The sequence below is a fragment of the Homo sapiens genome, chromosome 8 (assembly GCF_000001405.40).
Source record: "Homo sapiens chromosome 8, GRCh38.p14 Primary Assembly".
Taxonomy (NCBI): Eukaryota; Metazoa; Chordata; class Mammalia; order Primates; family Hominidae; genus Homo; species Homo sapiens.
Genome location: NC_000008.11, coordinates 18,562,259 through 18,588,382, shown reverse-complemented (window position 1 = coordinate 18,588,382; position 26,124 = coordinate 18,562,259). Strand labels below are relative to the sequence as shown.

Below are 26,124 nucleotides of genomic sequence, written 5' to 3'. Positions count from 1 at the left end.
TTCCTGGAAACCTTGCACAGATCCTAGAGACTAATTCCTCAATCAATGGAAGCTTAAACTTCATAGTTCTGTGTCTTGTATGGCTATATCTACCTGATTGTGTGGTTTCTACCTGGTTCTGTAGTTTCTTCTTAATCTGTAAAACTAAAAACTAAAAAGGTAGGTAGACTGTACAAGAAGGAAGACCTTATGGGCATCTACATCTGGAAATGCCACTCCCTCTTAGGTTAATAGGATACTGCCTGCTGCTGAGCAGACTTTTGCATCATAGCGTTCTTTGGGGTATCGAGCCATCCAGCAGAAACAGGAGTAGTAGATAGTTAAACTTCTTCCCCTTGGCCAGGTTGTAGCATGTGTTAAGGGCTAATCCTGGTGATGTGTGCATCCTACAGGGAGTTACTAATGTCCCACTGCTGGTTAATCCGTCCCCCTGGTTGGAAGCCTAATCTACCAGCATGTGATAGCAGATGCTACACAAAAAGTAAATTATATGATTACAAGGTGGTTTGGGGTTTATACAGTTTGGGTTTTATATCCTCCCAAAGCTATTTATCACATCAGGTACTGTGCAAAATTCTAAGCTTCCAAAGACAACTAAGATACAATCCCTGCCTACACAGAGCTCACAAAATAGGAGGAAAACAGATAAATTGAGCATTCACTAAGCAATGAGATGAATTAATAGAGGCGTGGAAAAATCTTACTGAAGAAGGCCCCCTAAGCATACTTGCAAAGGTCAGAAGATGCCTCCCTGAGGAATTAACATGACTTGAACTGATGCCTGAAAGATAAGCAGGAGTTTGCCAGGCAGGCAGGCGAGAAAAAGCATTTTAGCAAGAGAAGGGTGAAAATAGCAGATATGAGAGAATATGGCATATTCAAAGAGTGGCAAACTACTTTTTACATTTGCATTATAGGCTGGAGGGGGAGTAGCAAGCAGTAGAAAGATGATGAAAAAAATTATGTTTCAAATGATGAAGGTATCACGAAAATTAAAGAGATGGTATCACAATGTCATAAAGTGTCCCATTTACGAAAGAACTGTTTTCTTCCCTCAAGGAATTTCAAGCTCTTTGAGTGAGAGGTCATTGCCGCTGCCACCTATACTCAGGTACTCAAAGGACTTAGGTGGCATAGTGTCCCCCATGCTAAGCAGCCCTCCTCACAGGACCTGTGTGGGGCATGTGACCTGGGAGTGCCATGTTGTTCTCCGCTCTGTGCTCTTAGGATGCCAGTATTTACACTCCTAGGATTCCAGTATAGCAGAAATGTCTCTCCTTCTTCTTCCCTTCTTCAGCCAATCCCCCACTATTTGGGTGAGGAGAGGAGAAAAAAGCCCTGGCCCAAAGTTAGTGTCATTCAGTTTGACAAAAGCTCACTCATTTGGCCTCCTGTGTAACAGGGGCTTTGCCAGAGATGGGGATGCAAAGATCCCAGGATCCGGCGTCTATCCTTAAGGGCCTCACTAGCACACTCAGGCTCTACATCCATTCTCTCTTTCTCCACACCTTTCTACCCCATATACATTTCTCAGCATCAAGGAATCCTGTCCAAGGGCTTCCAGTTAACTTCCCTCCTGAGTGCCCTCCATTTTCCCCCTTGCGGCTGCCAACGTCTCGGCCTTGGGGATAAATGAGGGGGGTAGTACTGCCTGAGACAGAAGGAAACAGGGCCACTGCTTCCCTGATTAAATGAATCAAATTGGTCTTCGAAAGAATTCATAATGGCTGGCAATTCCAGCCATTCCGGAAGTCCATAATGGCTGGCTTTGAAGACCACCTTCCCTTCATTGTAAACACATATATACCACACACATACACAAACCACCCCCTGCCCCACCCACTGGAATAACAATCTGTTTAGGGTCTCATTTCATTATTAGTTGCTCATCAGTTACTTTAAGCCTTTCATCAAGACTTCTCAACTACGTAATAGCGTATAATGATTTTTACCCATATAGAACAATTCAAGAATAATTCAATTCGCATTTCTTCATTACAAATGGAGAGTAATAGTAAAGGCTTTCCCCCTCCGAAAAACAAATAAACAAAAAAGTCACAATAGTCATCAGAAGGAAAACTAGGCACAGCTGAAATTACACAGGAGCGAGTGCCAAGTCCTCACAGTCTCCATTCGCTCAACCTCTTTCACTACTCCCATCCCAGCCAAAGTGGCTTGTTGCAAAGGTTTTTGGCCACTCCTACAGGAAGTTGAAGCATTAATAAATAATATCTCATGCCTCTTAAGGTTGTGGCCGCCCTGTGTTTATGCTCCCATATGTTGCATGCCTCCTGAACACATGGGCACAGTGTCGGCAGCCTCTTAGGTATTAAAGTAAGAGCTTTGTTAGGCTGGGGATCGCTCTCCCCAGCTTCCTCAGATCCCCCTAGGAAAATATATCTCTTGGAAGAGCATTAAAAGGCTCTTCCAAAAGAAGAGTCACACCTTGAAGAGTTACGAAGAGTCATACTCCAGTAAGTAGACATGCCTTGTCAAACTCCAAGTCTGTCACTTAACTAATTGCTGATTTGGAGCAGTTAATTATCCTCTGCGAACCTCAACTCATTTCTGTGTAAAATGAGGGGAAATGATGTTGCATGGTTGATATAAAGAAATGATTAAATACATGAAAACACCTGTTGCACAGTAGGTTAATAGTAAATATTGGTTCCCTTCCTGACGACTCTTATAAGAAATGAGAGTATTTTTTCTTTTAGTCCTTTCTTGATTATTAGTCATCTCATAAGGAATAAAGTGTCTGGTGTGGTTGGGCACAGTGGCTCACACCTGTAATCCCAGCACTTTGGGAGGCTGAGGTGGGTAGATTGCTTAAGCCCAAGGGTTCAAGACCAGCCTGGGCAACATGTCAAAACCCCATCTCTACAAAAAATACAAAAATTAGCCAGACATAGTGGTACTTGCCTGTGGTCCTAGCTACTCAGGACGCTGAGGCAGGAGGATTGATTGAGCCCAGGAGGCAGAGGTTATAGTGAGTCAAGATTGGGTCATTGCACTCTAGCCTGCGTGACAGTGAGAGCCTGTCTCAAAAATAAAATAAAAATAAAGTGACTGGCTTTATTCAGACCTTATTTTCCTCCCTTTTCACAATCTTCCTACAGCAGTCTGTGTATGAAATGATTAAGAGTTAGGCCTTCTCAACCATCCAAATAAAGGCCCTTACTTTCCCTGGTACCTTTATTGAAAAATAAGTAATTTCTTCTACCTTTGTTTCCACTTCAGATAGGAGACAAATGCCTCCATAAATCCTCCTAGCACTAGTGCCAGGCAAGGCAGAGGGCTTCGTGTTCTGGAGCTAGCGATGTGGCATAAACACAGGTCAAAAATACCATATCACCCCATTCCTCATTCCCATAGACATTAATTATATATATGACATGACTTCTACATACTTGTCTTCTAGTTAGAGAAATTTTACCAAAGATCAGACACATGCCTCCGCTCCCTCTCCCTCTCACCACCTCAACCCTGGATATTTAGATAGTCCCTTTATGAAAAAATAAGCCATAGGCTCTACATACCCGTTCCATGTAGCAAAAACATGAAACAAATAAGCACAAGGAGCCCCCCACCTTTTTGAAGAGACATTTAAGAGCAGTATTCCCGTATTAAAGAAAGCCCACATAGCCCTGCAGAGCATTTCTGTATATTTCATATCTAAAAGAATAACCACTCCCAGATCAGAGCATTATACATCACAAATGTAGGAAACGGCTTGGCAGATTGCCTGAGCCAGCTTGCTTCATTGGCCATTTAGCCAGAAATGAGACTGGTTTGTTAGTATAATAGGTTGTAGGTTACTTCTTCCATCTGAGCTTCACAATCTCATAGAAGGATACTGTTCCCATTTTTTAAATTGAAAAGCTGGCGTTCTAAAGTTGATTAACCTACTCAGTATTGTAAAGATGGTACTAGCCAAGCTAATATTTTTCCCATTAGTGTCTTCTTAAGTAAATATGAACACTCTAGTGTGAGAGCCTTGTAATTACTGGAAGTTTAAAATGCTGTTGTGGGGAGAGGTCTCTAACTGTTATGACTTCACCCAGCTTCAACTAACTTGGCCACTGCACAGCAACTGTGCATTAACTTTCCTTCAGCCTCTGACTTGAATAAAGAATGATGGCTTTGCCCTTTCTCTGATTGCACTTGCCTGGCTCCAGCCACTCTTTCACTGGGATATGAGACTTTCCACTCTTTCACTGGAAAATGTCTCGTATCTTCTATTAGTTGAGTACATAAACTTTGAGATTTTCTAACATAGACCTTTTTCAGGTCTATTGTTCCCAGAAACCATGAAGTATGTGGAACTGTTGGCATCCTATTTTATATCTCTCAGATTGACACTTAAAATATGGCTTAAGTATCCAGTATCAGCTGAACTTTGGCTAGTAAACTACCTTTCTGATACAGAGGGCCATAAATTTACCTAGGAAGCAAGTCAATAATGAGTGCATATATAAGATTAGGACTTTGCCCGTCTTCTAGAATGTTGTATACTAGAGATATGATTGTGAGCAAGATACGGTGCCCAAAGGAGCTTTCTTCTTCATTCTGAAGAAATTAACAAACAAAAGGCCAATTCAGTGCAATTTGAGAAATGCTACAAAGAGAGGAGGGTGCTATGGAAACACATATGGAAGGGCACTTAACCTGAGCAAGAGAAGGGAAGCTCATGAAAGAGTTCATGAAGAAAGTGATATCTAACCCCACACTTAAAAACACAAATGGAAGCTAGTCATATAAGGGAACTCAGAGACAAACGTGTATGGATACTTAGATGTGATACAGCGTGTTTGGGGAACTGCAGGTTCAGTGGTGTTTGAGGCAGAAGAGCCTAGAGAACCATGTTAAAGAGTTGAGACTTTATCTTAGAGCAGTTGGAGCTATCACATGTTTTAAATGGGGAGTGACCTGATTATTTTACTTATTTTTTTGAAACTAGGTCTCACTCTGTTACCCAAACTGGAGTGCAATGGCGGTGTCTCAGCTCACTGCAGCCTTGACCCCAACCAGGATCAAGCAGTCCTCCAACTTCAGCCCCCTGAGTAGCTGGGACCACCACCACACCTGACTAATTTTTCTATTATTTGTAGAAACGGGATCTCACTTCGTTACCCAGGCTGGTCTTGAATTCCTCAACTTAAGCGATCCTCCTGCCTTGACCTCCCAAAGTGCAGGGATTATAGGTGTGAGCCACCATGCACAGCATTTATATTTGTATTTTAAAAAGATCAATCTGGGTCAGATGCGGTGGCTCACGCCTGTAATCCCAACACTTTGGGAGGCTGAGGCGGGTGGATCATGAGGTCAGGAGTTCAAGACCAGCCTGACCAACATGGTGAAACCCCATCTCTACTAAAAATGCAAAAATTAGCCAGGCGTGGTGGCACGTGCCTGTAAAATCCTAGCTACTCAGGAGTCTGAGGCAGGAGAATTGCTTGAACCCAGGAGGTGGAGGTTGCAGTGAGCCGAGATCTTGCCACTGCACTCCAGCCTGGGTGACAGAGCGAGACTCTGTCTCAAAAAAAAAAAAAAAAAAAAAAAAAAAGATCAGTGTGGCTGCAGGTTGGAGAATGACTTGGAAACAGGTTCTATCAAAGACACAGAGACCAGATTAACTTGAACAAGGGCAGGGGTAAGATGGAGGGGGAAACATAGCTCTACTTGGAGAGTTTAGTTTGAGGTGTTGAATTCAGAGTGTGTGGAATAATAAATGGATGTGTCCAGTAAGCAATTATGCATACTTTGATCTGGAGCCAATGAAGGGGCCAGAAATGCAGATCTGAACAGTCATTAACAAAAAATTGGTAATTTAAGCCATGCAAGTAGATGATGTCACTCCAAGAGTGAGGAGAAGATGGAGGACAGAGCCAGTGGACCATATACTCATATGTGCCCTAGGAGGAAGAGAAAGGAGGAGGAGCCTGTGCAATGTGGCCAGACAGCTAGGAAGAAAACTAAGCCAGAGAGAAAACTGGTACCAGAGATGTTAAGAGATGTTTGAAATGTGTCCTGTCATGAAAAGGTAAGATAGGGAATTGGAGAGTGCCACGTCAATTCAGCAAGTAGGAAATTATCGATAAAGCAGTTTCAGTGCAGTGGTGAGCGTGGAAGGCAGATTGGAGAGTTGAGGATGCAGAGGCAGAGAGGACATAGACAACTACTCTCGAGAAGCTCACCCAGAAGTTTCCAGTTTGATCCACTCCACTCCTCTTTTTCTCATATTCCCCTTCCTGTGACTTTTGAAAATAATAAGTCCCCGGTGTCTGTCTCATTTCCATTGAATCTTGTTTCTTTCCTGTTGTTGATTGAACTCTAAAGTAAAGTAAGTCCTTATCTTTGTTCCTTTCCCCCAGACAGTTTCTTACATTATCCAGAGCTCTTGTTTTGCTTCTCTGAGTTACACACAATCTGCCTCATCACCATTTGCCTCATTTTCCTTTCTGGCCACTTCCTTAATGTTACTTAGTCACATATGCCTTTCACTTTCAAGCAAAGAGTAAATCCACGGAGTATCACGATAGTAATGTCAGATCCCTTTACAAAATGTCATGTTGGGAGCTATGTGAGAAATAAACATAGCGTCTGGTCCCTGAAAACACTTGTCCTGACAGTGTGGATGAGAAGACCAGTATTATGCAATGAATGGCTAGTGGACTCTTAAAATCACCTGGTGAAAAAGCACCAGTTAACATGATGTAAACCAAGTGTATAGGTGAAGGTTGGAGAAAACACAGGGTGAATGGAATAAATTCGGGTGAACACTTCTTTCTACTTGCTATAACTCTCTGAGATAGAGCTTGTGATATACAACACCAGCATAGGGGCTGATTTAAATATTTGCACATTTCAAAACTGTTCCAGAGTCCAGGTATCAGTCATGATCTGGCATAATAGGACTTTTATGGTACAGTGTTTCTGTCTGTTTTATAGCTAAGTAAGAGCACACTCCTATCTGTGTTTTTTCTAGTACTTGCAGTGCCCCTGAGCCCAAGAGTACCTAAAAAATGTGTGCCCTATTGGTAGTTAATTATTACTATGGGAATGTGAAGCGTTCATGGAAGAAAAGACAAATATTATTTTAATATAATACTAATAGTTCATATGTGCTTTAAAAATTAGAAAGTGCTATGAATTGAATGTGCATTTTAATTGACATTAAAATGATTCCATTCCTGTTGGTTCTGATGATCCATCATGGTTGACATTTGGGTAGTAACTTCATATCCACTTCGTTACAGAGTGAGTCATCCGCTAGCCAAGTGCTTTGACAAGCCTTTGCTATCACAAAGCTTCAGAGTTTCTCTCTCAGTTTCTGTCATGGGCTTTGTGTCTGTCCCTGCCAGTCTCTGCTTCTCTCTTGAAAGTATTTTTGTAAGGCTTGTGATGTTATTCTTGTTCCAGTTCTGGTTGTTACAAAACTGAACTGCCCTAGAGATGATTGATGGAATGGTTAAGAGCGACGGGTGTAGGTGGCTCGTTAGTGCATGGCAGTGAATTACTTAGAGTTCACCTCTTGATTATTGTAGTCTGCAGATCAGGCTCTCAAGAATCTCTATGTGATTTTATCTTTAGGGTCTAGAAAGCAGCTGTTCAAACCTGAATTTATTTACCTTTACCCTGTCTTTAGAAGTGAAAAATCAGTTCGTTATCTAAAACGTACATTTACTATCACAGATCAGGAACTGTGTCCTTGGTGCAGAATCATCTTTATTCTCTGGCTTACTCGGAAGAGAGATTTTGTTCCACCTGCCTATAAGGGGTTTTTGTTTGTTTGTGTTTTGTTTTGGGGGCTTGTTTTTTTGTTTGTTTTTTGACACAGATTCTCACTGTTTCACCCAGGCTGGAACACAGTGGTGCGATCACAGTTCACTGCAGCTTTGACCTCCTAGGCTCAACCAATAGGTTTTGTAAAAGTTTAATTGGAATTAAACTTTTTGGTTTTTACAAAACCAGTAGGTTTTGTAAAAGTTTACTGGGTCGCATCAGGGGAGGGCTTGGTTCAGGCACAGAAGGAAGCCACTGAGGATTCAAGGCCTCCCAGACTGTGATGACAGCAATCAGTCTGGAGCTGATGTGCCCAAGACTGTGGCACCCGGAGCAGGTCCATCTCTGGCCTGGTCTCCTGTCACTCATCCTGCTTTCTTGTGAGCTCATGGCGTTTTTATTTCCTTTTGTGAAACTGCTGGTTCTGTGCTCTTTTACATGTTGAAATAGTTATTAGGACGAAGCTGAATGAGTTTTAGAAAGACGCCTAATCAGACATACTTAGCATTTTTTAAAAAAGATATTCATCAAATTATAAAAAACATTTTTAATGCCAGTTTCAAAACCATGAATTAATAGACAATTTAGGACCCAGCTTGCTTTAATTACTAACATTTTTATTAATTTCCACATAGCTCCAAGTAACAATGTGGTCTCACTTTCCCTTTTTATATTCTCTCAGTGGAAATCAAGACCATTTCAACTGTGTTTAAAATTGTTTTAAGTACATGTAGCTATTTTACCTATTTAATGAGGCATGAAGTAAATAGTACATTGAAAACTGGAGTCTTTAATATGCTTTTTAAATTGATAAGAATTTTAATTACAATTTGGTCATTTTCCAAATTGTAGTTTATATTACCTGAAAGTACAATTTTTCAGACTTGATGCCAATTTTTTGTACATATGTAGATGATGTTTATGTTAGTGTGTTAAGATTCAACTTCACAAGAGGTTTAATTAACAAGTTTCTCAGGGAAAAAAAGCTTTTTATTTCATGCTTTTAATGGATTTAAAATAAATAGCATTGTGAAATCACATTCTTGGTGTTTATTGGGATGGTGGAGTGCTCTAATGAATCCTGTTACATAAAACGATGTAGATTGCAGGGAACACGAGAGAGTAACATGTTTTTAGTCATCATTTTCACCCCTCATTTATTTGAGAAAATGGATAGTAATTAGATGTCGTGGAGCATTTTCTTTTCTTACAGAAAATTTCTTGATTGGATTTATCTTGCTCACTGTTTCACATTTAGTTTGCACAGCAAATAGTCCTTGGTTTGAAATGGTTTGATTACGATGATTTATCCGTTATTTCTTCCTGCCCAATTCTACCATTTAAACACTATCCTCTCCTTTAGTGAAAAATAAAGATGTCAGAATGAACTTAGTAGGATAAAGTCATTTTTTTAATCCAATTGTCAACCCTAATGTTTCCACTCTACTCTTGGTTTTGCCCTTTGTGTGTGTGTGTGTGTGTGTGTGTGTGTGTGTGTGTGGACTTGGAGCTTTATTTTCTAGTAGGAATTCAGAATGCTGAAAATATTTTAAGGTTTGCATTTTGCCTTTTTAAGAAAAAATGGTAAAATTGTATTATCAACTAGAAAAGCGGAAGCTTCCTAGACTTAAAATTTTTCAACTTCAGTTTAGCCCTAATTAAATAGATCCTGTCTTCCACTGATGCCGTATATAGTGTTCTCCTTCCAGTATAAGGTAATCTGGCAGTTTACCTTAGAGTTTAGGAAACTACCTTGGAATAGAGTCCTCTTTTAAAATAATGGTGCAGTTCTTCCAAGGTGACAATTACTGTTAGCTTTTTCCTGGGTCTGTAATAAATGTAGCATTAAATTTTTTTTTTTTTGCATTTTTAAGAGTAGCATAAGAATGTCATCCTTTGAGCTTGATTTTAAATGAAGATATCAGCAGATAATATACTCGAAGAATATTTATAGTGGCTCCAAATGAGACAGTCTAAGTCATTCAATAGTAATAGCTACCAATTGGTTTTGTGTTTCCTATTCACCTGTAGCAGTTTGTTAGACATTGTGATATATATCTGGAGTTCAAACCATCCCAACGGTTACATAGAAGGGCATGAAGAAGAAGAGATAGCAAAATAATGATCAGAGAGGTAGGAGAGAAACCAGGAGGGTATTGTAACAAAAAGCTGAGGAAGAATTTCACAAATCATGGAGATGTAAAAGAATTGTAGGTTGGCACTGGATGCAGCCGTAGCTGGAGACCTTAAATCTGTCTTAGCTACAGTCTGCACAACTATGTTTATTAGTTTTGTCAGCAATTATCAACCCAAGTGAATGGTTACATAAGGGAGAATAAGGGTGGGACTTTTTAGTTTCAGACTAAATGGATGGCTAAGAAAAGTAAGGCATAGCCTAGCAAAAAATCCTGAATCCTAAGATTAAAGGAAAACCCATATGTGATTCCTAAGAGAAAAAAACAAGAAAAAGAGAAAATAATTAGATTGGCATTGGACTTGTATTAAACTGGAAGCTAGAAGATGGTAGAATAGCATCTCCAGACAATAAGTAAAACCAATGAAGAAGACTGCAGCCATATGTTCTATATCCAGTTCTATACCTATCAAAGAAATGAAAGATACTTGAGGATAAGAATAAAACAGTATACCACCTACCTAAAGAAAATACTTGAGAGAAGAGAAAATAGCAAAGGTATGAGAGGAGAGAGGTCAAGATGGAAAAAAGAAAGAAGCAGGTGAGCGAGGAAACATAGATGCAGTTAAATCTATGAGGGGAGACTCAGAATGTATAATCTAAATTCAAAATAAGGCTTCTTGAAACAGAAAATGCATAACACAAGATAATTTTAGTAAGATTGCAGAACAAAACATTTTTCAAAGTCTTATCTTGTTGATGTGGGTGAGGAATAGATAAACAGAGCATTTTCGTAAAAGAAAGACTCTTTTAAATTTCCATCTTATATGACTAAGCATTAAACGGATAAAGAAGAACATTTTAAGTAATAAGTGGCACATAGTTATAAGGAAGATGATAGTTATAAACCTAAATGCACCAGACAACATAGCAACTAAAATATGTATAAAACTTATCAGAAATGCAACAAGAACTTGAAGTGGAAAAGGTTAATATACGTGTCTGAAGGGGATAAACTAGTAGAAAAAATGATGTAAGGGCAGAGGAACCGAGTCAATAAACTTGAATATAAAGACACATTCATTCCTCAAAGAATAAATTTTTTGTATGTTTATGGAACATTAACGAAAATCAAACATGTGATTGGCCACAAGAAAAACCTTACCAAATTTGGGGAAAATAGATTTTCTAGACCATATTCTCTGGTCATAAGCCAATAAAATTATGAATATCTAATAATATATAACTAAAACTTTACCTTAAATTTGAGAAGCACATTATTTGATATTACTAAGATTAAAGAAGAGATAAAAAATTAAAACTACAAACTATCTAGAAAGCAATGAAAAAATACTCTTCTTTCCCAAACTCTGCTACACAGTGTAACCCATACTCAGAGGAAAAATTGTAACCTTAAATTCTTTCTTAACCAAAGAAGAAATATGGAAAACAAAAGAACTAGGTAATCATCTTAAGAAATTCAAACAACAACAAAATATTAATTCAAAGAAAATAGGGAAGAGGAATTAAGATAAAAGCTTAAATCATGGACCTAGAATATAAAAAAAAAAAAAGTACACACAAATTTCTAGGCTAACCTTTGTGCAAACTCAATCATTAGGTGTGTTAGGGGATCAGTATGTATGGAAATGGAGGTGGCATATAAATTCCCTCAAGTGATTTTGGCCCTCATCATTTCTCCTCATTCCAGTTATTTACCTACCTCATGTTTTTGTCTGGAATCTAAGTTACACTGCGTGGAGAGCCACATGTGCCGGGTTCTGTTATAGCGTAATTATAAGGCCAGAGGGGTTTTGTAGTCATGCTACCTCTAGTTGAAATTCCTACTCTGATGAAAATTTCCCTGGAAGGAGATTTGTGAATATTTGGAATGCTAAATTACTGAGAAAAATCTCATTTAAAAAATGACAAGGCAGATCTTAAAACATAACTAGATTATAGTTTTATGAATTAGTGGGAATTAGTAACAGGTACATATAAATACCTTGTATTTGTTTTTTAAATTCTCCTTTATTCATCATACCACTCGAGAAGACTGTCATTGTCAATAGCACTTCTTATCCTGGGAGGCTTAATAAAGTAAGACTTGTTGCAATCCCAAAGTAACAATTTTGTCGTTTAATATTATAAATGTGGATAATCTTTATATTACCACTGGTATTTACATCATATTGTAGAGGGAAAACCTTTGCCTCACAGCATTGTCACATGAAGGATTATTTTTGACTCAATTTGAATTGATGGCAATAGTACATTTGAACTGCTTGGTTTTTGGAGGGGATAAATGAAAGGGAGGGGAAGTATGGAGGACTGGCATTGTTTTTGTGAAAATTTGTAAAAGCAGACTGATAAGAAAACAGACAATATCTTTCTTTAGGCTTTTACTACTAATTAGAAGGTGATGTGGTGTGTGTGTTCGGGGGTACACGTGTGTGTTTTACAGAATGCATGTTTATCTTGTTTTTGATAAAATATGGGAAGGAGGAAGGGAGGCCTTAAACTCTAGAAAATATCTAACAGTTGGTAGCATATGCATTTACCTATTTTTCAGTTTTTGATAACAAGCTAAGCTTTCACCTGATTATTGATTTTCCTCTTTTCTTTCAGCAGAAGAGCTGGAGTAATTATTTTATTTTACTATTCATTTTTCTTTTGATAATATTAGTCTAAACAGAAAGTAACAGGAACATGTAATATCTTCAGAGCAAAGAACACAATGGCATTGTTTTTATCCTCGGTATAATTCTGTTGACAGTTACCTGTAAGGTTGTGCTTTTAACCATTTAATCCTGAAACCAAATCACACTATTGGTCCAAGTCTCATTTCTGTTCATTATAAAATGTGTACGATAGATATTTATTTCTGCCTTTGGCCTTACTTAGCTATTTACCTCAATTATTGTATATCAGTTTTTTAAAAAAACTGATTTTTAAAAAAATGCCTTGGGTAGATGTATTTTCTCATTCTCAGCAAATTTTTCAAACAACATAATGTTCTGTAACATTTATAAGGTTGTTTTTACTCACCGTTTGTTTCATTTTTTTCATTCACTTACTTGGATTTCCTAAAAACTATTTTTTTAGTTTTTGCTTTTAAAAAATTAAGTTGAAATCTGATCGTGATTTTTGCCTTTATTTTCTTTGTGTCCATCTATAGGATGAATACAAGCCAGAAAAGGCCTTGTCTGAAGAGGACTTGAAAAACGCTGTGAGTGTGCACCACGCATTGGCATCCAAGGCCACGGACTATGAGAAGAAACCAAACGTGTTTAAACTTAAAACTGCCGACTGGAGGGTCTTGCTTTTTCAAACTCAGTATGTTTTGTTGGTTTTTATTTGATTTTGTGTTTTAGTTCACTTAGCACTACTTTATTGCAAGGAACAAAATCAAGCTCTGCAGGGGAAATTTTTTGAGTTGGAATCAAAGTCATCAACTGCTTACATTAGAGAAATAACTGCCTAAGAAGATTAGAGTAAAAAAAAATAGAAACCCAGGATTTACATTTTTACCTGTTACAAAGTAGCCCTTTGACTTTTAGTCAGCCACTTACCATCTCTAGAATTCAGTATCCTCATCAATAAAATATGAGGGTTTTAGTAGACAAGTTTTATCGCAAAATGAGTAAAACAGACCTAGATAACACTGTTTCTCTAGCTCTTTCTCCTAGCACATAGTTTAACCTCTGAACCTCAGCTCGTCACTAGTGTGGGGGATAACGTTTATCTTACAGAGTTCTAGTGAGAAGTCAGTGAGATAAGTGTGTATAATACCTCACACAGTGCCTGGCACATAGGAACTGTTCAATAAATGTAAATGTTTATTTTTTTGTTTCCCTTCTGAGCTCTAGTAGTCCATGATTATACTAGAAGGAAAAGATGTCATTCTACTGTGAGCAAGGAAATGGGATGAATTGCCAGTTTTAGGGGGAGGTTATAAGGAAACAAGTTGCCCGGGGTTTTTGAGTGTAGGAATGGGATGGTTAACATCACACAGGGACCCATAGCTGGATGTATAATTACAGCTATTGGGCATAAAGAAACTTTCAAATTATTCTGTTCCCTGATTTTTTCAATCAAAAATACCAGATGTAATAACTAAGGAGATCTAATTACTTTGGACAGAATTGATGCAAAAAACAGTCCATTGAAATAATAATGGAGCCAGAGAGATCAGCCTAGAGAGGGTGCCGTGAGGAGCTGACATTTAGAGTGGTCTCAGGTTTGTTTGTGTGGTTTCTCTCAGAGTAATTGATGAAGGAAATGACTTTGGCTGACTTTTTTTTTACTTTTTGTTTATTGATTATGTGTATGGTAGATAATCTGTCCTGATTCATGATCATTTCTACCATTCATTTATGAGTTTGCAAATATTTATTAAGTGCTGTGAATCTTGGGCTTTCTGGATATAATGACACATAAATTAAAAATATGATCACATCAGATGATTTTCACCTCCTCTCAGGTGGGTTTTCTAAATAGTCTTATTGAGGTATGCTTTACGTACCATAAAATATCACCAGTTTGAAATGTACATTTCAGTGATTTTTTTAGCATATTTACAGAATGGCTCAGCCATCACCACAATCTAGTTTTGAATCATTTCCATCACTCCAAAGAGATCCCCGTGCGCATTTTGTAGTCACTGCCATTCTCACCTCCAGCCCCAGGCACCCACTGATCTACTTTCTGCCTCTGCAGTATTGCCCTTTCTGGACACTTCATATAAACAGACTAATATATGATGTGGTCTTTTGTGTCTGGCTTCTTTTATTTAACATAAAGCTTTGGAAGTTTATCTGTATTGTAGTGTGTGTCAGTACTTTATTGCTAAATACTGTTCAGTTGTGTGCATTTACTGCATTTTGTTTATCCATTTACTGGACAATTTGGATTGTTTCCCTTTTTTGACTCAGGAATGATGATGCTATAAACACTAACATACAAATCTTTGTGTATCTGTATGTTTTCTTTTGAGATGGAGTCTCACTTTGCCACCCTAGCCTGGAGTGCGGTGGCGTGATCTCTGCTCACTGCAACCTCCGCCTCCCAGGTACAAGTGATTCTCCTGCCTCAGCCTCCCAAGTAGCTGGGACTACAAGTGTGCACCACCATGCCCAGCTAATTTCTGTATTTTTAGTACAGATGGGGTTTCACCATGTTGGCCAGGCTGGTCTTGAACTCCTGACCTCACGTGATCTGCCCACCTCGGCTTCCCAAAGTGCTGGGATTACAGGCATGAGCCACCACGTCTGGCATATCTATATGTTTTTATTTCTCTTGGATAGTTACTTAGGAGTAGAATTGCTGGGACGTATGATACATGCACAGTTAACTTTCGAAGAACCTGTCAGCTGTTTTCCAAAGTAGATAAATCCTTTTACCTTCCCTCTACCAATGCATTCCTCAGTTAGATTTTAAAATTAAACAGTACAATTAGAAGAGATGAGTAAATTTTATAATTTATTTTTGGCCTAGCCTCGTATCAAACAGAAAGTAGGGGTTTAATCAATATTTATTGTCAAGTGTTTCTCTTTTTTCCCTTCTGTTTCCTAGGGAGAGAATCACAGTCTGGCACTGTGATGATCATAGCTTCTTTGGTGATCGTCGAATGACAATGTTCATCTCTAATGAAGTTTTGTCAGGGATTAGTTGTACCAGGAGGAGTAAATGATTTTCACATGCCATTGCAAATCAGTAACGTGAAATAGGCAAAGTGTGATGCTACTTAGACATGGCAATATCCTGATATAAACATATCTATTTCTCATAGGAGCCCAGAGGAAATGCAAGGGTGGATAAACAAAATCAATTGTGTGGCAGCTGTATTTTCTGCACCACCATTTCCAGCAGCAATCGGCTCTCAGAAGAAGTTTAGCCGCCCACTTCTGCCTGCCACTACAACAAAACTGTCTCAGGTAATCATCTTGATAGTGCTTTGACCTTGGGAAAAAGTACTTTGTAAAATAATGTGATAAATATTTGTCTTTGGATAGTAGTCCATGTTTTGGGGGCAGGTGTGAGACCTTGCCCTGTGAGAGCGTATCATATAAATGAGGCAGATATGCAGTACACTGGGTTTTACACTTCATGTAGGAAGCTGACATAATTGAGTCTCAGTTAGTAGGACACGTACTTTGATTCAGTTTCTAAGGTTTATATTAGTTCATTATGAGCAATACTTGATGTTTTGTTTGTTTTAACTGCCAGCTCATAATCTGGCTTGGTAACAAGCTTTTCTTGCATTCATTTATTAGCTCATTTTTATTGAGCATTTACCATATTCCAGGATGTGTTTAGTGCTAGAAATACAAAAATATTTTCAGGAATCCACGGTTCATATTACAATGGGAAATGGCCTGCCCTACCCCTCAGAGCAGAGCTGAATGGAACATTTGGATTTTCCAAGCTAATGAAGATAAAGTATACCAGAACTCTGCTCCAAGTGTATTTACATAAGCCTCCTTCTGTGGTCAGATTAATCTTACTAAAAGCCATATTTTATCATGTCCTTTTTCACTTAAAACTCTTCTAAGGACACTACCTACCAGCTAGGTTTGCTCATTTTAAACCTGTCTGTAGTACCCCCTTGCCATTGACTAGTTAAAGATTTTGGAAGCTACTTTGATGTCTTTGTGAATTTCTTATTACATAGAGACAGTTTTATCTTACTATGATCGACCAAGTGTTGGTATTAACTAGCTCCCTATACATCTTTGATATCATAAGATGTGTCCCATGGCAAGAGAGGGAGCAATTATCAATGATAGATTAATTTAATAAATATGTATTGTGTGCCTGTTGTACATCAGAGACTATTTTTGGCCCTGGAGATAGAAAGGCAGATGAAGGCCAGATCCTCTGCTGAAGGTGTGGCAAATATAAATAAGGAAGTCATTGTAAAATGATTTGATAGAAGTACAGGAAGGATAAGTCCAGAGAGCTGTGGAGGTTCAAGGAAGGGACATTATCTAGCCTGGCCTTGGAGGTGAAGGAGGAAATGTGGTACCTAATGTGCAGCTTAAAGGATGAGAGGCAGTTAGGTGAGGTGTGGGACGAGATAGGAAAAAGAGCCATCAGAGGAACGAAGGCCTAGAGAAGAGAGCGCTGGATGCAGGAACCACACACAAGTTATTAACTGTGACATGAGCACAGTGTTGAGAAAAAGCAAGAAATGTACCTCTGCAGAGGTCAGCAAAGGCCAAATCATGAAAGGCCTTGTTTGTCGTGTGTAGGATTTTGGATGCTGCTGTGGTTCCCAGCATCCTTAAAATAATAGCTTTAAGACTGGGCACAGTGGCTCATGCCTGTAATCCCAGCACTTTTGGAAGCCGAGGTGGGCAGATCACCTGAGGTCAGGAGTTTGAGACCAGCCTGGCCAGCATGGTAAAACCCTGTCTCTAGTAAAAAATACAAAAATTAGCCAGGCGCAGTGGTGGATGACTGTAATCCCAGCTACTTGGGAGGTGGACACAGGAGAACTGGTTGAACCCAGGAGGCTGAGGTTGCAGTGAGCCGAGATCATGCCACTGCATTCCAGCCTGGGCGACAGAGCAAAACTCCATCTCAATAATAATAATAATAATAATAATAATAATAATAGTTTTAAGCAGGACAGTAATGTGATCACATTTTTGCTTTAAAAATTATTCTCATTACAATATGAGAAATTGTTAGAAGAAGATACTACTTGCATTTCTCTGATGGCCAGTGATGATGAGCATTTTTTCATGTGTTTTTTGGCTGCATAAATGTCTTCTTTTGAGAAGTGTCTGTTCATGTCCTTCGCCCACTTTTTGATGGGGTTGTTTGTTTTTTTCTTGTAAATTTGTTTGAATTCATTGTAGATTCTGGATATTAGCCCTTTGTCAGATGAGTAGTAGGTTGCGAAAATTTTCTCCCATTTTATAGGTTGCCTGTTCACTCTGATGGTAGTTTCTTTTGCTGTGCAGAAGCTCTTTAGTTTAATTAGATCCCATTTGTCAATTTTGTGTTTTGTTGCCATTGCTTTTGGTGTTTTAGACATGAAGTCCTTGCCCATGCCTATGTCCTGAATGGTAATGCCTAGGTTTTCTTCTAGGGTTTCTATGGTTTTAGGTCTAACGTTTAAGTCTTTAATCCATCTTGAATTGATTTTTGTATAAGGTGTAAGGAAGGGATCCAGTTTCAGCTTTCTACATATGGCTAGCCAGTTTTCCCAGCACCATTTATTAAATAGGGAATCCCCATTGCTTGTTTTTGTCATGTTTGTCAAAGATCAGATGGTTGTAGATAAGCGGCATTATTTCTGAGGGCTCTGTTCTGTTCCATTGATCTATATCTCTGTTTTGGTACCAGTACCACGGTGTTTTGGTTGCTATAGCCTTGTAGTATAGTTTGAAGTCAGGTAGTGTGATGCCTCCAGCTTCGTTCTTTTGGCTTAGGATTGACTTGGCGATGCGGGCTCTTTTTTGGTTCCATATGAACTTTAAAGTAGTTTTTTCCAATTCTGTGAAGAAAGTCATTGGTAGCTTGATGGGGATGGCATTGAATCTGTAAATTACCTTGGGCAGTATGGCCATTTTCACGATATTGATTCTTCCTACCACATATTCTCACTCATAGGTGGGAACTGAACAATGAGATCACATGGACACAGGAAGGGGAATGTCACACTCTGGGGACTGTTGTGGGGTCGGGGGAGTGGGGAGGGATAGCATCGGGAGATATACCTAATGCTAGATGACGAGTTAGTGGGTGCAGCGCACCAGCATGGCACATGTATACGTATGTAAGTAACCTGCACAATGTGCACATGTACCCGAAAACTTAAATGGAATGTTCTTCCATTTGTTTGTATCCTCTTTTATTTCCTTGAGCAGTGGTTGGTAGTTCTCCTGGAAGAGGTCCTTCACATCCCTTGTAAGTTGGATTCCTAGGTATTTTATTCTCTTTGAAGCAATTGTGAATGGGAGTTCACTCATGATTTGGCTCTCTGTTTGTCTGTTGTTGGTGTATAAGAATGCTTGTGATTTTTCTACATTGAGATACCATCTCACACCAGTTAGAATGGCAATCATTAAAAAGTCAGGAAACAACAGGTGCTGGAGAGGATGTGGAGAAATAGGAACACTTTTACACTGTTGGTGGGACTGTAAACTAGTTCAACCATTGTGGAAGTCAGTGTGGCGATTCCTCAGGGATCTAGAACTAGAAATACCATTTGACCCAGCCATCCCATTACTGGGTATATACCCAAAGGACTATAAATCATGCTGCTATAAAGACACATGCACACGTATGTTTATTGCGGCATTATTCACAATAGCAAAGACTTGGAACCAACCCAAATGTCCAACAACGATAGACTGGATTAAGAAAATGTGGCACATATACACCATGGAATACTACGCAGCCATAAAAAATGATGAGTTCATGTCCTTTGTAGGGACATGGATGAAATTGGAAATCATCATTCTCAGTAAGCTATCGCAAGAACAAAAAACCAAACACCACATATTCTCACTCATAGGTGGGAACTGAACAGTGAGATCACATGGACACAGGAAGGGGAATATCACCCTCTGGGGACTGTTGTGGGGTCGGGGGAGTGGGGAGGGATAGCATCGGGAGATATACCTAATGCTAGATGACGAGTTAGTGGGTGCAGCGCACCAGCATGGCACATGTATACGTATGTAACTAACCTGCACATTGTGCACATGTACCCGAAAACTTAAAGTATAATAAAAAAAAAAAAGAAGAAGAAGGTACTACTAGAAGCAGAAAGGCCCATTTTAAAGGAATTTTCAGTAATCCAGAGGAGAGATAACCAAGGTAGCTGCAGAAGAAATGGATCGTAGTGAAAGTGCTTGAGAGACCTTGAAAGTGTAGAATGGACACTTCTGGTGGCTCATGGAAGTAGAGGAAACAGGCTGTCATTGTGGCTTGGACAGCTGGGGACTGTGGTGTCTGACCTGCTTCTGGAGTCTCACCTCACTGTCTCTTGATTTCCCCCCTTGCTTCTTAGACTCCTTTCTTGGATCATTTTCTTCTTTCTGTCTCCAATTCCTGCAGTGGCCAGAGCTCAGAAGCAGACTAAGGCACTTGATAAGCAATTTTCCAAAAAGTTACTTAGATTTAATACAAACAGGGAGAATGTTGTGCCAAGAAAGGGGGGAAAAGGTTCCATGAAGATTTAGATTTAAAAATGTGATATTTAGTGGCTGGGAGGTCACTGGGTATCTTAGCCCATTTTGTGTTTCTATAAAGAATACTAGAGCCTGGGTCATTTAGAAAGAAGAGAGGTTTATTTGGCTCACGGTTCTGCAGGCTATACACGAAGCATGGCATCAGCATCTGCTTCTGGTAAGAATCTCAGGAAGCATCAAATGATGATAGAAGGGGAAAGGGAAACAGATGTGTCACATGGCAAGAGAGAGAGGAAGGGAAAGTGCCAGGCTCTTTTTAACAACCCACTTTCACTTGAACTAATAAAGCAAGAACTACCTCATTATCATAAGCGTGGCATCAAGCCATTCATGAGGGATCTACCCCCATAACGCAAACACCTCTTACCAGGTCCCACCTCCAACATTGGGGATCACATTACAACATGAGATTCGGAGGGGACAAGCATCCAAACTATATCATTGGATAACCTTAGCAAGAACATTTTGGTGGAGTCATGGGAAGACAAACCACATTGGCCTTCTTTGATGGGGGAATGAATGGAAGGTAATAAGGAAGTGGAGGAGGAAAATGTGCTCAAGTGTTGCCATAGTTATAAAAACAGAAAGACTAGTAGTAAGAAGGAAGAATCTGTGGTTTCAGGAAAGATTCTTCTGTTTTTAATTCATAATTATCATTAACATATATTGAATGCTTACTTGTAAGCATTACTATTACTGTACAGTTCTTGCAGGACACAATGGCATTGAATTTTTAAGGGTAATAAGTACACTACAACTTTAAAAGAAAAGGAATGCTCTTACTGATGACCAGAAGGTATGTTGGCAGACATCTCCATCTATCCAACTAAAATATGAACTCTTAAAGCAAATGCATTTCTCTGCTTTAAATATGCATACTTAACATAAGCAGCATACCACATAAAGAGCATGTCGCATAAAAGGTAAATCACATTACACGATATAAGGGGAGGGAAAAAATCAAGTAACTGGAAGCAAAAAAAAAAACCTTCCAAAATTGAGTTTTGCTCTATTAATTTTACGGTGGACTTTCCCATTGTTCTTTTTCAGTAGTTTGGGTCTTTCTCACATTCAGTTCTATAAAAGATCCAGGGGAGAAGGTGAGTTGAACTAAAGAGGGCTGATAATAAGCATGTCATTCATGGAAGGTGAATGTAACTTAGAGCAACATATGAGTGTTTCCTTGATTTTCCCTCACTAAAATCTACAGTTCTGTTTACTTTATACTTTAAAAAATGTACTGCTTTCCTATTTAGGGACTGTATACTAGTAAGTGATATGTACGTGAAAATGAATGTGTTCATCTGTTTGCGTGTTTTCCCCAGAACAGGCAAGCACACACATTTATCATGGTAGGCACTCTTATTTCTAACAGATGACTTACACTGGAACCAAAAATAGAATGCATAATTTTTAAAAATGTTTTCCTTCATTTTGGACATAAATCCACAGAGATGCAAAAACATGCATATGTAGTATAATCACAATTAGGGATTGAAGATTTTAAATAAGAAGGTAATAACCAAAAAGAAATATCCTGCAGTATCATGTAAGACAAGGTAACCGTATCATTTCAGGAATTTAATTTATTTGGAAAGAAATGAGATGATCTCCGCCACCCCACTGAATTGCATCACCCAGCATTTGCTTTGTGGGCCTCAGCTTTCCATCTAGAAAAATGAGATGGTTCTAGAATGTTTTTAAGGAATTTTTTTTTTTTTTTTTTTTTTGAGACAGAGTCTGGCTCTGTTGCCCAGGCTGGAGTGCAGTGGCTTGATCTCGGCTCACTGCAATCCCCACCTCCCGGGTTCATGCCATTCTCCTGCCTCAGCCTCTCGAGTAGCTGGGATTACAGGCGCCCGCCACCATACCCAGCTAATTTTTCGTATTTTTAGTAGAGATAAGGTTTCACCGTGTTAGCAATGATGGTCTCGAACTCCTGGCCTCAAGCAGTCTGCCCACCTCGGCCTCCCAAAGTGCTGGAATTACAGGCGTGAGCCACCCTGCCCAGCAAGGATTTTTCTATCCAAAGCTCTGTATTATTTCTTTGCCGAGTCATAAGGTTTGTTTCTAAAGATAAGATTTTTAGCTTTGAGAAACACATATGTAAAATTAAGCATGTATTTGGAGTAGCACCTGAGGCTCTTGGGGATATCTATACTGGGGTCATAGTGTGCCTCCAGCAAATCCTGGAAGATGTCTGGCTGCCCCTAGGATTCCTCCAGTACCTCAAAGACTAGCTCTCATCCTTTAACCCAGGCATATTCGAGCGCAGCAGCATTAACATTTTGGTGTGGATAATTCTTTGTCGTGAGGGCCTCTGTGAATTGTAGGATGTTTAGCGATATCCCCAGCTTCTACCCACTAGATGCCAATAGGGACCCCCCAGTTCTAACAACCAAAAATGTCTCCAGACATTGCCAAATATCTTCTGGGGTCAAAATCCAACCCACTCCTATTGAGAACCACTGCTTTAGCCAGTGGATGTGAAGCCGTGAGACCAGCTATCTTTTTTTCCCCATACTCCCACAACCTGGCTCTGACTCCCCTAAATGCCACAATTTTTTGGATAATTTTACTTTACAAAATACAGGTATAAAAATGTGAGTGCCTTGCTGGAAACATTGATAAAGAAAGATAAACAGTGTGGGGAAAAATTAGACGTTCAATTAAAAGATTGTTTGGTGCTTTTTCAAGACACAGTGTTTGTCACCCTGTCATTTGTGGGCTTTGCTTTAATTTATTCTTGTCTTTTATGCAAAACACATTAGCCTTAATCATTAAAATTGATTATTGCCAGTGCAGCGTGGTACTTTCTGAACAACTCTGCTGTGTAGGAGGAGTCGCCTTCTTTGTTTTTCATGACAGTGCTGCCAGAGCACATTTTTCTTCTATTGGGGGTGGAAAGACTTGTTTGAAAATACAAGTTTTGCTTCTCCTTCTGGTGTAGCTCTCCAAACACAGAAATGCATGGCCGGCCCTGTTCACAGTCTGCTCACAACCTCCCTTTCTGCCCACCAGAGAAGTCTTTTCAAACTTCAGTGTGCACAACAGCTATGTCGGGACTTGCAGAAAATGCACATTTCCCAGCCCCACCAGGTCGTTCAGGTCCAGGCTGGGCTCAGGGACACATGTGTGTTTCTTTTCCACTCCAGGCCGGCAGGTGGCTCCAGATCCCACTTAAACCCTACACTGTAGGAACCTGTGCCTACCCTAGGTCTTTCCTTGCTTCTTTAGAGAATGGTGCCCCAGGACATCTTCATTTCCTGATATCTAGGTCTTTTTTCTTAGAATTCCAACCATTGTCTTATAAAAGTTTGAATCCATGGGTACTAAATACTTTTTTGGTCAGACTTAAGATGGATACTGATCAGAAGCAAAGCAGTCCTATGCTTGATTCTCACGCTGAAGTAACCCCCACCCCTCCTTTTGTCCTGTGGTATGACCACAAGGCAGTGGTGCTCAGAGCCAGGTGAGTGGAGCTGACCTTACGGGCAGTGGGATTTCAGGGGAGGAGGTCATTCTTGTAGTTGCTTCCTTCACTGCGCCCCCACCCACCCATTTCCACAGTTTCTGTCATAAAGTCCTGTCACTTCTACCCTCTAAATATCTTTTTTTTTTTTTTTTGAGACAAGGTCTCACTCTATCACCCAGGCTGGAGTGCAGTGGTGCCATCTTGGCTCACTGCAACCTCCACCTCCCAGGTTCAAGTGATTGTCCTGCCTCAGCCTCCCAAGTAGCTGGGATTACAGGTGTGCACCACCATGCCCAGCTAATGTGTTTATTTTTAGTAGAGACGGGGTTTCACCATGTTGGCCAGGCTGGTCTTGACCTCCTGACCTCAGGTGATCCGCCCGCATCGGCCTCCCAAAGTGTTGGGATTACAGGCGTGAGCCACCGTGCCTGGCCAATGTCTTTCATATTCTACACCTACTGCTTCAGATTTTTGTCATATTCTACCTAGATCACTGGTCTACTCACTTTTTTGACTATTCACCTTATCCCAATACTAAATATTTCAGCAGATATCTTTTAATATATGATGCTTTTTTAAAGAAAATAAACTACATTTTCCACTGTCAATCCCAGTAATAAATATTAGTAAACCTTAACATTTTGTAGTGCTTAGATTAAAAAAAAAAAAGAAGAAGAAAACTTTAAATTTTTTCCCAGTGCCTAAGGAGCTATTAAAATTTTTGAAAACTCATAAACGAGTTCAGCACTGTTAGACATGCAGGGGTGTTTTTATGGTATGTGAATTGTATCTCAATACTGATTTTAAAACTCTTTGCAGTGGGTCATCTTGCCTGGGCTACACACACCCCACTTTGGAATAATCTGACCCAGATGATTTCTGTAACCACTTGTGATCTCTCTTCCAGTAATCTTATGTCCTTCTGATCCACCCTTTACAGTTCTGACTAAAATATGATTCTAATTATGTCACTTACCCTTAACTGATTCATTTTTTCACATTCAAACTCTTTGATGTGGCCTTAATTGTTACCCATACTTTTCCTGAATGGATAGATTTTTAAAAATTCATTTCTTCGAGGTCTGTATTTAATATATATTAAGTACCCAATAAAACAAGTAATTAAATCATGTGGAAGCTATTTTGCTTATACTCATTAAATACTGTGTTTAAGGTCTAAAGCTGTCTTAAACATGAAATTATGAAACAATCTTTTGGATTGAGCCTCCCTCAAACTGACTCAAAGACAGGTGTTCTGTATTCTAAATTCTGTACCACTTCGTTTTGAACAGTTTCCAGTGTTTAGCAATTTGACTTCTAAGTTGCACTGCGGATCCCTAGATACATGATTACCCTGAAAATCATCTGTCTCCTTTAAGACAGCACAAAGGAAACAGTCTAAGCCCTCCCCTCTGTATCTTCACTTAAAAAAAAAAATCTATTTGTTCAGCTACTGTTTACCGAAGATCCTGTATAGCAGGTACTATGTTAGGTTTTGTGGGCATTATAAAAACAGGTGAGACAATTGCCTTGGCCCTCAACTTCTGAGAGCTTAAGGTATTTGTTCATGTTAGGCAGGTAATGTCTATAAACCAAAAGCTGCCACATACTATCTCTCTGCTCAACACTTTACTGGATACTGGAGGATTTAAGGGAAGGAAAAAAGTGACCTTTTTTGCCTTTTTAAGAGCTTGTAATCGGTAAAGGAGATAAAACTCACACAAAGGTCAGGGTATATTTTGTGCTAAGCATATGACGTAGACATTTAAGTGCTGCCGTAATGCAGAAGAGGAAGAAGTGGTGTGATCTAGAGTAACATAGGTTTGGTTTTGTTTTGTTTTTGTTTTTTCTTTTTCTTTTTCTTTTTCTTTTTCTTTTTCTTTTTCTTTATCTAGACAGAGTCTCACTCTGTCGCCCAGGCTGGAGTGCAGTGGCATGATCTCGGCTCCCTGCAACCTCCGCCTCCCAGGTTCAAGCAATTCCCCTGCCTCGGCCTCCAGTGCAATTGGAATTAAAGGCGCATGCCACCACACCCGGCTAATTTTTGTATTTTTAGTAGAAACGGGGTTTCACCATGTTGGCCAGGCTGGTCTCGAACTCTTGACCTTCAGTGATCCGCCCATCTCAGCCTCTTAAAGTGCTAGGATTACAGGTGTGAGTCACCAGGCCCAGCCTGTAACAGAGGTTTTGAGTGGAATTTGGAGCAAGGTGAGTAACCCTGAGTCCAGCCTGCACGTTTGAGAGCTATAGCAGAGGAGACCCGGCAGCAGTGGAGTTTACCAAGAGCTCTGAAAGCTGAGTTCAGGATTGATCTGTCAAGTAAGACAATGTGCTGAAGCTATGTTGTTGACAGCCCTTTGGATTTCAGAAGGCTGTTCCAAGGTGACTTCATGATAGAAGTTGGGAGAATGTGGCTTCTGCCACTCTGTCCTTTTGTCTGAACTGGAGCAATTACTTGAACTCTCTGGATCTCCATCTTCTCTAAGACAAAGAGGGTAGAAAGGACAGTGGCCAGGTTCTCT

General features: G+C 39.6%; 1 protein-coding gene across 23 annotated transcripts in view; it reads left to right on the top strand.

Moving 5' to 3' along the window:
• Positions 1 to 26,124, top strand: part of PSD3 (pleckstrin and Sec7 domain containing 3) — a 557,503-nt gene that overhangs the window by 496,423 nt on the left and 34,956 nt on the right. For all 23 annotated transcript variants that reach the window (NM_001412865.1, NM_001412866.1, NM_001412872.1 and 20 more), the window contains 2 exons: positions 13,098 to 13,255; positions 15,711 to 15,855. In NM_001412865.1, the coding sequence (NP_001399794.1) occupies positions 13,098 to 13,255; positions 15,711 to 15,855 (303 nt within the window). The remainder of the gene's footprint in view (positions 1 to 13,097; positions 13,256 to 15,710; positions 15,856 to 26,124) is intronic.